Source organism: Homo sapiens, chromosome 1 (assembly GCF_000001405.40).
Source record: "Homo sapiens chromosome 1, GRCh38.p14 Primary Assembly".
Lineage (NCBI taxonomy): Eukaryota > Metazoa > Chordata > Mammalia > Primates > Hominidae > Homo > Homo sapiens.
Window position 1 is genome coordinate 13,684,561 of NC_000001.11, and position 17,430 is coordinate 13,701,990.

At 43.7% G+C, this 17,430-nt stretch overlaps 1 protein-coding gene, 1 long non-coding RNA gene and 1 other non-coding gene across 6 annotated transcripts in view, besides 1 other annotated feature; 1 reads left to right on the forward strand and 2 right to left on the reverse strand.

Moving 5' to 3' along the window:
- Positions 1 to 2,486: 2,486 nt before the first annotated feature.
- On the reverse strand, positions 2,487 to 7,332 carry LOC105376756 (uncharacterized). Its single transcript, XR_946969.3, has 3 exons — positions 7,218 to 7,332; positions 4,174 to 4,266; positions 2,487 to 2,777 (listed from the first exon to the last, which is right to left on the reverse strand). It is a non-coding gene; the product is annotated as an uncharacterized LOC105376756 (long non-coding RNA).
- Positions 7,333 to 11,509: 4,177 nt separating this feature from the next.
- On the reverse strand, positions 11,510 to 11,639 carry LOC124900446 (small Cajal body-specific RNA 11). The gene has a single exon (XR_007067400.1).
- Positions 15,381 to 16,150: a silencer, noted in NCBI's record as "silent region_288". NCBI's record gives its function as "represses an Ori minimal core promoter by ATAC-STARR-seq in GM12878 lymphoblastoid cells {active_cell/tissue: GM12878}" and the evidence as "EXISTENCE:reporter gene assay evidence [ECO:0000049][PMID:35858748]".
- PRDM2 (PR/SET domain 2) overlaps positions 15,628 to 17,430 on the forward strand; it is a 124,892-nt gene continuing 123,089 nt past the window's right edge. For all 4 annotated transcript variants that reach the window (NM_001393986.1, NM_001135610.2, XM_047429994.1 and 1 more), the window contains exon 1: positions 15,628 to 15,740. The gene's annotated coding sequence lies outside the window, so the exon portion shown is untranslated. The remainder of the gene's footprint in view (positions 15,741 to 17,430) is intronic.

Consider the following 17,430-nt stretch of genomic DNA (forward strand, 5'->3'; position numbering starts at 1 on the left):
TAGATGTGAAAAACCAATAAAACCAACTTTAGCTACAAGCTTGGCCTCCAATACAGAAATAGTATTAGTGTATCACTGTATCATTGTTTTGGTTTATTTATTTATTTATTTATTTAGAGACGGAGTCTTTTTCTGTTGCCCAGGCTGGAGGGCAGTGGCGTGATCTCGGCTCACTGCAACCTCGCCTCCTGGGTTCAAGCAATTCTCCTGCCTCAGCCTCCCAAGTAGCTGGGATGACAGGCGTGCACCACCACGCCCAGCTAATTTTTGCATTTTTAATAGAGACGGGGTTTGCCACGTTGGCCAGGCTGGTCTCAAACTTCTGACCTCAGGTGATCCGCCCACCTTAGCCTCTCAAATTGCTGGGATTATAGGCGTGAGGCACTGTGCCTGGCCTGTGTGGGTTTATTTTATGTATCAACTTGGAGGGTGTTTCTGCATGAAATCAACATTTAAATTGACAAATTTAGGGTAAAGCAGATCGTCTTCCATAATGTGTGTGGGACTCATCCAGTCAGTTGAAGGCCTGAATAGAACAAACAAACAAACAAAAAATGGCCTCCACGAGCAAGAGACAATTCTCCAGCACACTGTTTTCAGACTTCATCTGCACCCTCAGCTCTCCTGGGTCTCAAGCCTGCCAGCCTTTGTACTGGAACTGGACTGTTGGCTTTCCTGGATTTCAAGCCTGCCAGCCCATACTGCAGATTTTGGACTTGGCAGCCTCCACAATCACATGAGCCTATATGCAATTAGCATATATACATATATATTATCCCGTTGATTCTGTCTCTCTGGAAAGCCCTGACTAATACAATCTTTTTTATTTTTATTTATTTATTTGGACATGTTTAAGGTAGGCTAGGCTAAGCTCTAATGTTCAGTAGGCTAGGTGCAGTAAGTGCATTTTCTATTTAGGATATTTTCAACTTAAAATGGGTTTAGCAGGATGTAACCTCACGATAAGTCGGGGAGCATTGGTAATGAAATTATAAGGCAGAAAGTTCTAAATGTGATCAAAGAGGACTGATGAGCTCTAGGAAGAATAGAGAGTTTAGAGATGGGGGTAGTTTCTCCACACTGTGGGATGGGGAAGAACCAGGAATGGCTCTTCTCCATCCCACAATATCATTGAGTAGCAATGTTGATGTGATTTTAGTGGTAGCCCTTGGCAGAACTGCGTTTTCTGATCTTAACTCTGTTGTTATGCTCCCGCTTGGGGAGGTTACAAAAATCAGGTGTAGGACACACAGTATATTCAGACTATAAGGATGCTGCTGAGATAATGGTATAGAAACATCTGTTGTATTCACTTCTTTTTTTCTTCTGTTTTGCTTTCTTTACCTATTTTCACCCTATCATGCTGTATGTACGTGTGTCAGCCAGCCAGGTTATTTTAGGAATTAGATGGAATAGGAAAAAAAACCCAAATGAATGTGTTAATGACTTTTCCTTATACATTTAGCTCAGAAATCTTAGCAGAAAATTTTCAGCGAAACTAGCAAAATTGAATCACCATTACGATATTGACTAGCCTCATACATACCACTCTTATAATTATATTCAGGCTTTTTGTATTGTAACTGCTTGTTAAATATACATTACAGACCTAGAGAAGATTTTTTTTTTTCTGTTTTCAAGTCAACTTTTGTTCTATTATTTAGTAATCTTCCAACTCCGGGAGAGAATATGAATTTTTTGAATTAAAAAGGATGTTATAAGTGACAGTACTTTTGTTCTCTGATTCAAAATAGTGACTATATATATAACATATACATTTTACGTTATATAAATATATTTGCCTATTTCATATTGTACTTTCATATATTTACATTTTTATTTTGTATTTTACATACGTATTTATATGTATATTTTTACATATCCCTATACATATAAAGTAATGAGTTTTTTTTTGTCATTGAAAGAACATTCTCATTTAACTGCAAATGTAGTTAAAATTTCGTAGAGACATCTTAAGAGGATTCAACATGAAGTCTCAAGTTATATAATTGTGGTTTTCTTTGTTTTGCATTGTTCCCCATATGTCACCTGTGATAAAGCTGAATTGCATGTGATTTTTACTTCACTAGTTTTGTTGAAAAATACCAAAAGTTTTTAGAAAAATGTGTATAAAATGTGTATTTTAGAGTGTTTCTCACAATGTAAGAGACAGCCTAACTACTACTCTATTTCTAACTCAAAATATCTCTCATTGTCAAATATTGCTGGTTTAGTTTTCAATTATAAAACAGTCCTGGGGTAATTTATATAAATACAACCAGAATAATAGATTTTAGAACTGGAAGGGATCATAGGGGTTTAGTCTAGCTTCTTAATGTTACATATATAAAAATCAGGCCCAGAGATGTTAGGTATCATAATTAAAATCATACAGATTCTTAAACCACGAATTCTTAGAAACAAAAAACACTAAAAAAGTTTTTAGTGGCTGAAAAAAATGTTTTAAAAAGAAACACAGGAGTCAATTTTATAGGTAAGAGTCATTTATAATGTTACATCAAAGATGGGTTTATTCCCTGCTAAAATATTTGTTTGCTGTCATCTAACTATAGCCATAACATTTCACCATGGTCAACTAGAAAAAGCAGTTGAGGTATTGTGATTTGTCAAGCCATGTGGGATATAAGAAACAATTCATAAGAAGGCCTATTGCTAATTTTAATCATGTCAGAAGAAGGAAAGTTTAACAACATTGTCCAGGGAGTGCGGCTTCCTCTGGCGTTGGTTTCTCTCTCTGAAAGTAGACATAATCCTGACTGGCATAAGAGAATGTTAATGAGGCTTCAGTCTTGCTAGTAAATTTTTTTGACATTTGCTCTCAGAGTAGCATGCATAAAAAGAGTATTATTAATATTTAGCTTTCCATAGTGCCATCATTATGCATTGCATCATGAAATCAATCTAGGAGACAAGGTCCCCCTCCAGTCTGCATGAAGCATGAGTTTGTTGATATTTTTAGATCAGGTACCCGCAGTAAGCGGAAATGAAGCTCTGGTTTTCTCATTGTAAGGGGGTTTTAGTTGGTTGTCGGGCATGCTGCCTCTTTGCCTCTACTAAGCACAGTCTTCACGGATTTTATAATGAGGAGCCAGGTGGCATGAAGAACATTCATTATTAAGAATAATGAGAAAATGGTATAATACAGAAAAATAAACTACAACATCCCTATTTTGACCAATGTATTTAACCTTTGCACTAATCAACTGTTTCCTCCCTTAATCAGAATGTTATTGATTAGAGTTCATGCACTTTCAACAGGGGCAAAAACTGGTTCTTGAGGGTCACAAAATCTTAACCATAAAACAGTAAAAAATTCCTGGCCATAAATTCTCATAATAAAAACCAAACACCAAAAAGTTCTCAAAGGCTGAAACAGATATTTTAACCAGAAGCACGGGAGCTAAACTTATATTTTAAAACTGTTTATAAGTCCAGAAGTAAACCCACCCATATATGGCCAAATGATATACAAGGGTATCAGGATCATTCAATGGGGAAAGACTGTTTTTTCAACGGATGGAGTTGGGAAAACTGGATATCCACATGTAAAGGAATGAAGCTGGACTCTTACCTTACACGATAAACCAAAGTTAACTCAAAATGGATCAAAGATCTAAGCATTAAGAGCTAAAAGTACAAAACTCTTAAAAACTTCGTGACATTAGATTTGGCAATAATCTCTTGGATATAAGAATAAAATCACAGGCAACAAAATAAATTATAGATACACTGGTCCAGATCAAAATTAAAATCTTCTGTGCATCAAATGACACAATCACCAGAGTAAAAAGGCAGCCCACAGAATAGGGGAAAATATTTGCAAATCATATATCTGATAAAGGATTAATAAAGAATCCTACCATCCAACAATAACAAAAACAACCCAATTAAAAAATGAGCAACAGATTTGAACAGACCTTTTTCAAAGAATATATACAAATGACCAGTAAGCACCTAAAAAGATACTCAACATTACAAACCATTAGGGAAATGAAAATCAAAACCACAATGCAATCGCATCCCACACCTATTAGGATGGCCACTATCAAAAACAGAAAATAAGCATTATTGAGCATATGGAGAAACTGGAACCTTTGTGCACTTCTGGTAAGAATGTAAAAATGGTGCAAACCCAGGCATGGTGGCACATACCTGTAGTCCCAGCTACTGGAAGGCTGAAGTGTGGGGATCGCTTCAGTCTAGTAGTTTGAGTCCAGCCCAGGAAACAGAGTGAGACCCCCATCTCTAAAATAAATAAATAAATAAATAAGTTGCAGTCACTACAGAAAACAGTATGGCAGTTTCTCAAAAAATTAAAAATATAATTATCAAATGATTCATCAATTCCACACCTGGGTATATACCCCAAAACATTGAAAGCAGGGTCTTGAAGATATAGTTGTACACTCATGTGCATAGCAGCATGATTTACAATAGTCAAAAGGTGGAAGCAACCCAAATGTCCATGGGCCAATGAATGAATAAATAAAATATGATATATACATGCAATGTAATACTATTTAGTCTTTAAAAGGAAGAAAATTCTCACACATGCTACATCATAGATGAACCTTGAAGACACTATGCTAGGTGAAATAAGCCAGTCCCAAAAAGACAACTACTATATAATTACACTTACATGAGGTAACTCATCAAATTCATGGAAATAGAAAGTAGAATGATGGTTGGCAGGGATTGAAGGAAGGGGGAATGGGAAACTATTGTTTAAATGGTATATATTTTCAGTTTTGGGCCGGGTACAGGGGCTCACGCCTGTAATCCCAGCATTTTAGGAGGCCAACACAGTAGGATTGCTTGAGTCCAGGAGTTTGAGACCAGCCTGGGCAACACAGTGAGACCCTGTCTCTATAAAAAATAAACAAAAATTAGCTGGGCATGGTGGGACGCTCCTGTAGTCCCAGATACTTGGGAGGCTAAAGTGGGAGGATCACTTGATCCTGGGAGGTCGAGGCTCCAGTGAGCCGAGATCATCCACTGCACTCCAACTTGGGTGACAGAGCAAGACTGTGTCTCAAAAAAAAGTTCGGTTTTGTAAGATGAAAAGAATTCTAGAGATGGATGGTGGGATGGTTGTCCAACAATGTGGCTGTACTTAAGTGCCACGAAACTGTACACTTAAAAATGGCTTAGATTGTAAACTTTACTTGGCATGTATTTTTGCCACAATTTTTTTAAAAAAGCTCTTTATAATCTTACATAAAAGATTAGCTTATTGCCTGCTACAATATGTTTGCTCTCCAGTAACTGTAGCCATTATACCTCACCAAAGTGTCTAAAGCACAGATATTCTATTAGTCCATTTATCATGCTGCTGATAAAGACATACCTGAGACTGGGCAATTTACAAAAGAAAGAGGTTTAATGGGCTCACAGTTCTACGTGGCTGGGGAGACCTCACAATCATGGCAGAAGGTGAAGGGCACGTTTCACATGGCAGCAGACAAGAGAAGAGAACTTGTGCAGGGAAACTCCCCTTTATAAAACCATCAGATCTCATGAGAATTATTCACTATCACAAGAATAGCATGGGAAAGACCCGCCCCCATGATTCAATTACCTTCCACAGGTTCCCTCCCATAACGTGGGAATCGTGGGAGCTACAATTCAAGATGAGATTTGGGTGGGACACAGCCAAATCATATCAGATATTTATACAGTACATAAACAGATATACAGTACATCTATGATACTCAAATTTCACAGCAGCAGGAGGAGCAATTAGGGAAAAACTGTCTAAAGAAGTCGCTGGGGAGGGAAGGTAAGGGAAGAAGGGAGATATACTTCCTTTCCTTGATGAGTCTGCAGTCCATACTCCAACTGAGTACACAAATGTCTAAAGGTGAGACTTGAAAGTCACATACTGAATAATCTATAGCAGGGTTTTAAAAAAGACATTTTTGGCCTGGCACGGTGGCTCATGCCTGTAATCCCAGCACTTTGGGAGGCCAAGGCAGGTGGATCACGAGGTCAGGAGATCGAGACCATCCTGGCTAACACGGTGAGACCCTGTCTCTACTAAAAATACAAAAAATTAGCTGGGCGTGGTGGCAGGCGCCTGTAGTCCCAGCTGCTTAGGAGGCTGAGGCAGGAGAATGGCGTGAACCTGGGAGGCAGAGCTTGCAGTGAGCCGAGATTGCGCCACTGTACTCCAGCCTGGGTGACAGAGCGAGATTCTGTCTCAAAAAAAAAAAAAAAAAAAAGACATTTTCGATATCTGGGGCTGAATAATTCTGTGTTGTGGAAGGGGACTGTCCTGTGTATTCTAGAATACTCAGTGGCATTTCTGGTCTCTACCTGCCAGAGGCCAGTAGCAGCCCCCACCCAATTAGGACAACCCAGACTCTCTCCAGATTTTTTTTTTTTTTTTTTTTTTTGAGACGAAGTCTTGCTCTGTCACTCAGGCTGGAGTGCAATGGTGTGATCTCGGCTCAACTGCGATATCTTCCTCCTGGGTTCAAGCGATTCTCCAGCCTCAGCCTCCCGAGTAGCTGGGACTACAGGCGCCTGCCACCATGCCCAGCTAATTTTTGTATTTTTAGTAGAGACAGGGTTTCACCATATTGGCCAGGCTGGTCTCAAACTCCTGACCTTGTGATCCACCCACCTTGGCCTCCCAAAGTGCTGGGATTACACGTGCGAGCCACCGTGCCAAGTTCTCTCTAGATATTTCAGAATGTTCCCTTGGGGGCCACTGCTCTCCAATTAGTTAAAGTTAACTATAATTTGGCCAATGAATGAATTTCAAGTAGAGGCTCATATAGGTTGGTTAGCAGGCTTATGAACCTAGCTCAGGTGTCTCAGCCCTGGCAGGTGTTGGCAGGTGTTTGTCTTGGCTATGACACCTGTATGGTTCCCTCAAATTGTTTAAATGATGACTTAAATGTGACAGAGGAATGCCATGTGTTTTTGACCCTGTTTGTGCAGCTTTGGAAAGGTATTATTATTCTACTGTTAGCCAAAACATCTTATAATGACAATACAGTTTGAAGTCTTAGGGAGGGGTGGAGGAGGGAAACATATAGTCAAGTTAAATTGGAAGAAAAATGAATTCAAAGTGCAGGCCCTGAGTTCTTACTTAGCTATGGCTAATGTGTTTCTATTTCAGAGATCGTATTTAAATTACAAAATGGTTGTTATCAATCAACATTATTGACGGAGGAAAGACTTGTACTTACCACTGTTTGGATGGCGGAGATGTGTACCACTCTGTTCACACTCTCAGGGGCTTAAAATATGGTTGGGACTTAAGATACACACACACAGGCAGGGCTTGGTGGCTCACGCCTGTAATCCCACACTTTGGGAGGTCGATGTGGGTGGATCGCTTGAGCTCAGGAGTTCGAGACCAGCCTGGGCAACATGGCGAAACCTCGTCTCTACAAAAAATATAAAAATTAGGTGGGCATGGTGGCACATGTTTGTAATCCTAGCTACTTGGGAGGCTGAGGTGGGAGAATGACTTGTGCCTGGAAGGTTGAGCCAAGATCGCACCACTGCACTCCAGCCTGGGCCACAGAGTGAGATCCTGTCCAAAAATAAAAAATAAAAAAAGATACACACATACAGCAATTAGACCCCGAGGCAACACAGTGTATGGACAATTGCTGATGGAGGTTATCACTGGATTCATAAAATGAGGAAAGAATGAATGTGGGCTCCACTCCTGTACTGGGTTGAACACTGTCCTCCCAAAATCCATGTCCTCCTGGAGTCTCAGAATGTGAACTTATTTGGAAATACTGTCTTTGAGATGTAATTAGTTAAGATGAGAATGAGCTGTGGTCGCAGTGGCTCACGCCTATAATCCCAGCACTTTGGGAGGCCGAGGCGGGCGGATCTCCTGAGCCCAGGAGTTTGAGACCAGCCTGGGGCAACATGGCAAAACCCTGTCTCTATTGAAAAAAAAAAAAAAAAAAAAAGATGAGGTCATACTGGACTAGGGTGGGCCTTAAATCTAATGGCTGGTATTCTTATAAAGAAAGCCGTGTGAAGACAGAGAGACACAGAGAGAAGATGGCCAGATGAAGACAGGGACAGATTGGAATAATTTATCTACAAGCCACAGAATGTCAAGGCAACCACCAGAATCGAAGAGAGAGGCATGAAACAGATTCTCCCTTAGACTCTGCAGAAGGAACCAACCCTGAGACACCTCTGAGGCTGTAAGAGAACACATTTCTGTTGTTTTAAACCAGAGGTCCTCAACCTTTTGGGCACCAGGGACCGGATTCATGGAAGACAATTTTTCCACCGACTGCTGGGGAGGGGTGAGGTGGCAGGGATAGAGGGATGGTTTTGGGATGATTCAAGCACATTACATTTATTGCGTACTTTATTTCTATTATTATTACATTATAATATATAATGAAATAATTATACAACTCACCATAAGGTATTAGGCTGGTGCAAAAGTAATTGTGGTTTTTGCCATTAAAAAGAGAGCAAAAACCACAATTACTTTTGCGCCAACATAAAACAATCAGTGGGAGCCCTGAGCTTGTTTTCCTGCAACTAGATGGTCCCATCTAGGGGTGATGGGAGACAGTGACAGATCAGCAGGCATTAGATTCTCATAAGGAGCTCACAACCTAGATCCCTTGCATGCACAGTTCACAATAGGGTTCTTGCTCCTATGAGAACCTAATGCTGCCACTGATCTGACAGGAGGCGGAGCTCAGGCGGTAATGCCAGTGATGGCGAGTGGCTTTATAAATACAGATTAAGCTTCCCTGACTCGCCTGCTGCCCACATCCTGCTGTGTCGCCCAGTTCCTAACAGGGTATCGGTCTGTGGCCTGGGGGTTGAGGACCCCTGTTTTAAACCACTGAATTTGTTTTGTGGCTCTTGGTTACAGTAGCCTTAGGAAACTAATGCAACTATGGGAAGATTTCATCAAAAAGCTGGCTTCTGAGGAAAGGCAAAATTTGGATGCAGGAGAGAAGGGGTGAGGAGTGAATCTTAGACAGAAAGCGGGGTGAAGAAAAATGGAGAGCACGGCATTTCTAGAATGCAGATGGGGATGGTGAGAAGCACAGATCCAGGGTAAGAGATGGTTCACCTTGGTGATGAGTGAGCACTGACTGGGTAGGTAGGACGGGTCATCTCATCTACAGACGCCCCTGTAAGGCAACACACTACAGCTTCGAATCTGGGGAAACAAATCCAGGCTTAGCGTTTTACTATCTCAGTGCAATCTGCTCATTTCTGGACCTGATTTATTTTCTATTCCTTCTCATGCTGCTTGCTATTTCCAGCTGAAAAATATTTTCACTTCATGTCTTTGCTGTCAATGTATATGTTTTATTCATGTTCTCGGTGGCGTATTAGTGAATTCATTCTGCCTTCAAGGAAGGCTTAAACTTCCCTTTGTATTCTCTGGAACAAACTGCATGGGTCTTTGAGCTTGTTACACTAAAAGTTTTGAAAGGAGTGACATCTGTTTGGGAAATTCTGAACTTTTCACCTAATTTATTAATATGTTTGGTTCTAGAAAATGTGATATAAGAAATACAATGGAAAAACCTAGCAACAGTGCTCTGGAGTTTTTTTTTTTTTTTTTTTTTTTTTTTTTTTTTTTTGTAGAATGGAGTGAAGTTATCTCTAGAGCCACATATTTGAATTGGTTAGAAATTTTAGCATCTTGGGCCGGGTGTGGTGGCTCATGCCTGTAATTCCAGAACTTTGGGAGGCCGAGGCAGGCAGATCACTTGAGCCCAGGAGTTTGAGACCAGCCTGGGCAACATGGCAAAAACTCATCTCTACTAAAAATACAAAAATTACCCGGGCATGGTGGCATGTGCCTGTGGTCGCAGCTATTCTGTAGGCAGGAGGACTGCTTGAGCCTAGGAGGTCAAGGCTGCAGTGAGCTGTGATTGCACTACTGCACTCCTGCACTCTAGCCTGGGTGACAGAATGACAGAGTGAGACTCTGTCTCAAAAAAGAAAAAAAAAGAAATTTTAACATCTTCAAGTCAGTTTTCTTTTTTTTCTTTTTGAGACGGAGTCTCGCTCTGTCGCCCAGGCTGGAGTGCATTGGCGTGATCTTGGCTCACTGCAAGCTCCCCCTCCCGGGTTCACGCCATTCTCCTGCCTCACCCTCCCGAGTAGCGGGGACTACAGGTGCCCGCCACCACACCCAGCTAATTTTTTGTATTTTTAGTAGAGACGGGGTTTCACTGTGTTAGCCAGGATGGTCTCGATCTCCTGACCTCATGATCTGCCTACCTCGGCCTCCCAAAGTGCTGGGATTACAGGCGTGAGCCACCGCGCCCGGCCTTTTTTGTTTTTTCTTAAGAGTAATAATGAAAAGGAAAAAGGTGTGGGGAGCGAGCCATCACGGAGCACGCTGGGAGCACAGGAATGCGGTTCTGGTTTCACACCAGGACTAGCCTGCTTTGTAAGTCCTGTCTCCTCCACTGGATCCTAAGTTCTTGGAGGAGAGGGGTGGCGTCTTTGCCCCTAGTGCCTAAGAGCATCTTGATGACCCGAAGCTGAATGAACAGCGACTCATCATGGACTTTGACATCAGAGAAGTCCTTCAATCCTGCCCCCTTATTCCAGCCAGCTGTGTCTCTCAACAATCTGAGCTTCAGTTTCTTCATCTGCAAAATTAGCAGCTGTTGCTGCTGTCGAGATGATGAAAAGACAACGTAGTATAAAGTGCCAGCTCAGACTTGGGGCTCAGTAAAGGTCACCCCTTTTCCCTTTCTCACATAACTACATTTCACCACTGCCAAGATCTGCCTATACATTTTGAGGCTGCGGGGTTTTTCTCACAGAAACTACGCAGCCAAAAGTGCCTATGACGCGGTAAGATGTATCTTTAGCCCCCAGAGTTGCTATGTCTGGACTTCATGCGTGAAGAGCGCAAGTTTCAGATCTTTTAGTGGCTGGCGTGCTTGCTTGGATGCCATTCCTTGCTCAGGTAAATGACGTGGCACAGGGATGGCGGGTGGAGAGAGTAAGGTGATGTAACAGAAGAGACGCTGGATTTCATAGAACATGATTTGCAGTCGCAAGAAAAGGGTCTCTTTTTTTTTTTGTTAAAGGTAAGCGATGTGTTATCTGAACAAAAGGTGAGTTCATTTGATTCAGCTGCACTGGATTCTCTTCCTTTGCCCATGCCTATGATCTTTTAATAGCTGTTCTTGCCTGACAGTCCAGGGACAGGATTTAGAACGGTGGCTTTATGCATCCAATGTTTTCTAATAATTCTAGCAATGAATAAAAAAAAATGTAAAAAAAAATCCTTCCCAGCCCCTACCGTGAGTATGTCGATGGAGGAATGACTAGTTAGGCACATGGAGTAGCATGGTTGTGTGTACCAGTTCCTGGTCTAGCTCTCATGCTTGTGTGTGTGCATGTCTGTGTGCGTGCATGCATGCTCTGGGGGTGGGGAGGTTGCTTACTAGAGAGCTAAATGGTCTATGTTCAAAACCTGGTTCCATTATTTTTTTTTCCATCTTAAATTGTCCTTCTCTTGCCTTGCAGAGCTAGTCCTAGTCTTATGACAGCCTTCCTAAGCTGAGAGGGAAATGGCTGTGTGTCCTGCCAAACTACCCTATCAGCTTGGTTGTATTACTAATGAGGCAAGTCCTTTTTTTTTTGAGACAAAGCCTTGCTCTGTCGCCCAGGCTAGAGTGCAATGGCACAATCTCAGCTCACTGCAACCTCCACCTCCCAAATTCCAGCAATTCTCCTATCTCAGGCCCCTGAGTAGCTGGGATTACAGGTGTGCGCCACCACTCCTGGCTAATTTTTTGTATTTTTAGTAGAGATGGGGTTTCACCATGTTGGCCAGGCTAGTCTCCAACTCCTGACCTCAAGTGATCCACCCACCTTGGCCCCCCAACGTGCTGGGATTATAGGCATGAGCCACTGCGCCTGGCCAAGGCAGGTCCTTGAACCCTTCCTAGCTTCAGTATCCTCAGCCGTAAAGGAGGATAGTGCTTATCACACAGGTTATGAGGATGAGTGAGAGAGTGCATGTAAAATACCTAGAACAGAGCCCAACAGAGAATAAGTATTGTTATCATTCGGGGAATTTGAAGTCCACTTATTCTCATTGGCAATGTACGGTAAACTCTTGGATCTCAGCTGTAAGATCTGCAATCTTTTTGGAAGCGCTACAGGCATTCCAGCTGCTATGCAGGGCAGGAGTGCTGTGGTTCCTATTATAATAATATGAACAATATACTGTCATTTATAGGCACAAGGTGCAGTCTGCAACATACTTGCTGTAATACATCCACATTGAGAGGGCCATGGAGAAGCCTTTTTTTCCAATTAAAAATATCTATTTAGCATTTATCGTGTGCCAGACACTCTTCTGGGTAGTGGGATGTTGTGGTGAATGATGATCATGTCTTCCATCACGGTACTGCCGCAGCAAGGTACAAAACCGGCCAGAACTGGTACCAGGTGTACTGGGGTAGAGTGGAGTTTGATTCATGTTGTCGACTTGGACAAAGAGTATATTTTTATACTTCCATCCCCATACAGAAACAGCCTGCAATACATTTCACCTTTTCAAAGGGGCAAAAGAGTGATATTTAACATATCACATGGATAATAAGTGCTCATTAAATTGTATTCTTGATGGCTCACATCTTTTTTGGATTACATGAATTATATATAATTATTTACCCTGAGAAATAGCACAGGTTGAAAAATAGACATATGTTCAAGAAATACACAGATGAAAACCACACAATGGCTGATTAAGGGTGGGGGTACCTCAGAGGAGACACCCAGCGTGGTAGGCTAAACAATACATTTTACCTTTTCAAAGAGGCAAAAGAATGATATTTAACATATCACATGGATAATAAGTGCTCATTAAATTATTGTATTCTTGTTGGCTCTGATCTTTTTCGGATTAAACAAATTATATTTAATTATTTACCCTGAGAAATAGCACAGGTTGAAAAATAGACATATGTTCAAGAAATACACAGATAAAAACCACACAATGGCTGATTAAGGGTGGGGGGAACCTCAGAAACGCTGAGGAGACACCCAGTGTGGTAGGCTAAATAATGGCCCCATACCTAAATCCACATCCCTAACGTCCAGAATCTGCAAATGCTACTTCATATGTAGTCTTGCAGACGTGATTAAGTGAAGGATCTTGAGATGGCCAGATTATCTGGGTGGGTCCTAAATCACATGTATCATTATGAGAGGGAGGCAGAGGGAATTTGACCACATACACAGGAGAAGATGACATGAAGATGGAGATAGAGATTTGAAGATACTGGCCTTGAAGATAGAGTGATGCAGTCACAAGCCAAGGCATGCTGGCAGCCACCAGAAGCTGGAAAAGGGAAGGAGCAATTCTCTGCTAGAGACTCCAGAGGGAGCCCGGCCCTGCTGCCACCTTAATTTTGGCCTAGTGATACTGATTTTGGACTTCTAGCCTCTAGAGTTGTGACAGAATAAACTTCTGTTGTCAGGGTTGGGATAATTTGTTACAGCAGCCACAGGAAACTAATATAGCCAGTCACTTTGGATTAATGAATTAATAACCGGAAAGACAACTACTGGCTACTCTGTTAACCAACCATCTAGTATCCATTCTGGTTCACCGTGCCACTTCTGATTTAACATCCTTTATTTTCCTTTTGCATTCTATTGAATGCCAGGTGGCCCATAGCTTTTCTCTTAAAATGGTGATTTCTATGTCAGTGTTTTGATGGTGGATGGAACAGTGGGGTCTCCCTATTTTCTTCATAGATACCCCAGATAATTTCGATGCATGGATCCAGTTGGAAGGTATTAATCTAGGTAAGGGGTGCAGAAGTCTGATGACTTTGCTCCACAACAGAGAATACTACTTTGATGACAGGCACGTGGTATCTCCCAGATCTAGGGTCTCTTTTCCTTGAATAGCGGAAGAAATAAGCAAACCCTTGAGGTTTGATTTATTTCCTTATTTTCTTAAGCCCTGTCACTTCTCAAGGCCTTAATAAAATTTACTCTAATGAGGTGATCTTCATTTGTTTACTATAACCGACTCGATCATCAGCTATAGCCTCATTCTTTTTTTTTTTTTTTTTTTTGATACTGAGTCTCGCTCTGTCACCCAGGCTGGAGAGCAGTGGGGCATCTTGGCTCACTGCCAGCTCCGCCTCCCGGGTTCACGCCATTCTCCTGCCTCAGCCTCCGGAGTAGCTGGGACTACAGGCGCCCGCCACCACGCCTGGCTAATTTTTTGTATTTTTAGTAGAGACGGGGTTTCACTGTGTTAGCCAGGATGGTCTCGATCTCCTGACCTCGTGATCCACCCGCCTCGGCCTCCCAATGTGCTGGGATTACAGGCTGAGCCACCGCGCCCGGCCTAGCCTCATTCTTTTACAATAAGATAACATGATATATGTTGATACAACACGTTTTCTTTCTTTTTTGAGATGGAGTCTGTCTCTGTCGCCCAGGCTGGCGAGCAGTGGGGCGATCTTGGCTCACTGCAAGCTCCGTCTCCTGGGTTCACGCCATTCTCCTGCCTCAGCCTCCGGAGTAGCTGGGACTACAGGCACCCGCCACGTCGGCCGGCTAAATTTTTGTAGTTTTAGTAGAGACGGGGTTTCACCGTGTTAGCCAGGATGGTCTCGATCTCCTGACCTCGTGATCCACCTGCCTTGGCCTCCCAAAGTGCTGGGATTACAGGCGTGAGCCACTGCGCCCGGCCAACACGTTTTCTTAAGATTAAACCTGTTACATAAATGATCGTTCATAATTTTTGGAAGCACACCTGCCCTTAGTATCCTGTTTTTCCACTGGGTGCTTTCTGCAGATGGCCAACGTAGCCATCACATTCGGATTCTTCCTGACTTCATTCTCAGAGGATTACTTTATCTTGAAGTGCTGAAGGCTCCAGGCACCATCTATAACGACAACTCCCAACTTTCCAGCTCATCTCCAGCCTGTGCTTCTCCCCGACTCAACTCATTTTCAACCACGTGCTAGGCCTCCACCCTTGGATGTCGAAGAGCCATCTCCAGTTCCACCCAGTTCATCTTCATCAGAACATCTATGAGTCGTCGTCTCTGCAGTCCATTTGTTTGCCCGCTTGGGAACAGCAAGCTCCTTAAGGGCAGGACTACTACCGCGCTCTCAGAGGCGCTGCACTGGAACATCGCGGGCACAGGGCAGCGTTGGTCACTGCTCCTGGGTACTAGGGCAGCAAATAAACCCAGCAGCTGCGTCTGTCTGCCTGGAGTTGGATCTTTTTGGTATAGATCCAAACGTAGAAGTATAAGGTCTACGTTTATGTACTTGTCAGATATTTAATGACCTCCAACGATAGACATGCCCCCCCAACACCTCCTTCAGTCTTTTTGATTCTTTGAGAATCTTTGAACCACGCAGGATCCTAGCCCTAGGGTGCGGTCGGACTTGCCGCGACGCCAGCCGCCGGGGTTCCTTCCCGAGGCGCCGCCATGGGATCCGCGGTGACCTACGAGGGGCGGCTGGGTGGTGGCCATTGGGCGACGGCGCAGGGTCAAGGGCCGGGCTCTGGGATCGTGGGGAGACCGGGGGTCCCGGAGCCCCCCAGCCCCGCAGGCCACTGCCTCGCCGCCCGACGTCACTTCCGACTGGAGTCAAGATGGCGGCGGCGCGGCCGCGGGCGCCGGGGCCGGCGAAACAGCGGCGGCGGCGGCGGCCCTCGGTGCTCTGAGGCGCTGGCGCGGCGGGCGCGGGTAAGGAGTGGCGCGGGTGGGCGGCCTCTGGGCTCGCGCCGGGACGCTGGTCCCTCCCCCCGAGGAGCGCGGCGGCGACGGCGGCGGCGACACGCTGGGGACCCGGCGCCGCAGGGATGGCCGGGTCGGCGGACGCGCCCCCTCAGAGGTCCCGGGCGTGCCGGGGGCCCCGGGACGAGGCGCGGGCCTCCGGGTCGGTGGCCCCGCGGGTGGGTGGCGGCGCCGGGCTCCTCCTTGTCGGCCGTGGGGTCCCTGCGGCGAAGTTCGGGATTCGGTTTGTCGCCGTGAAGAGCCGCGCGCCCCGCGGGGGACGCGTGCGGGCTGCAGAGACTGGCCGGGTGCGGGCGGCGGTGGGGCCACCTGGGGCCCCACGTGGGGCCGGGCGCCGTCCCAATTGTCAAGCCGCTGTGCTTTTCTCTTTTGTGTTCCCACTGAGTGTGTCTTGCACATTTGCACTCCAAATTTGTTTTGTGTCTTGCGTCTTTGTGTTTCCCAAATAGTTTTTGTGTGGTTTTAACCTGGAGATTGTCTCCCTCAATGTTCCCATAGACCCACGGGTGTATGTGTGTGTGTGCGCACGCGCGCGTGTGTGTGTGTTACAGACGTGCAACTCTGTTACTAATTTTGCTAATAAAGCTATCAATGAACCTCTTTTGATGGTGGTAAGTGAGACATGAAGTAAACCTAACAGGTCAGTGTCATTCCCCAAACCTTCGTGGTTCTTTCGATCCACGCGTGAGCCACCGACCCTCCGGGCTTGTAGCTTTGTGTCGGGCTGTGAGCTGCGGCAAAGACCCCATAGTTAACCGGGAAGTCCTGATTTCCTTAACTACGCAGCTGAAATTTCCCCTAACAGAAATTTCGTGCTGGCCCCTCACTTTTCTTTTAGTGTTGTATTGAGATTTTGGGTGTATTTGAGACGTGGAACGTCTTTTGCTGAATCCCAGTAGGTCCTTAGATCCCTTTAACCAGACACTAGAAGAATCATTTTTACCCCAGAACTCGACTAAAATGTTTAAGTTTTTGTTTACTCCAGGTTTATTAAAAGTGACCGAAACTTTTAACAACAAATGGAACTCTTCAATGATTTCTTTTACAATGGTACACACTTCGCCTCGGTTTGATCAGTTGTGTCCAAGTATTAGAAAAATGTAGGCCTTTTAAAAAAAAACATGATAGGAAATTTACATATATTAAGGAGGAGGAACTGAGACACACTGTCATACGTTCTTTTTTAGTAGGGTTCTGTGTTTTTGAGATGGTCCAAACTGCCCCATCACTCTTGAGGCTTCCGGACTAACACTTATTGGCCAAATTTTTACATGTAGAATCTTAGTTTAGCCTTGAGATGACCTTTAAAGATCATTTTTATTAAACCCCCTCATTTCGAGCTATGGAAACAAATCAAAATTCACAGTGGAACTAAAACTCATTTACATTTTCTGTGATTCCAGGGCTCTTTTTACTCAACACATCTGTTTTGGTTTGATTGAAATAAGTTAATACATTTTAAGTGCTTAGAAAAGTGCCAGAACATGATAATACTGCTCAGTAAATGTTTGCTTTTGTTGATTCTGAAGGTGGTTTCTTTAATTGAAAGGTTGGTATGTTCAGGTTTGTTTTTTCCTTATTTTGTGGACAGGGCCTGAAACAGTACAGTTTAAATCTGTAAGAATGTATTAATTTTGTA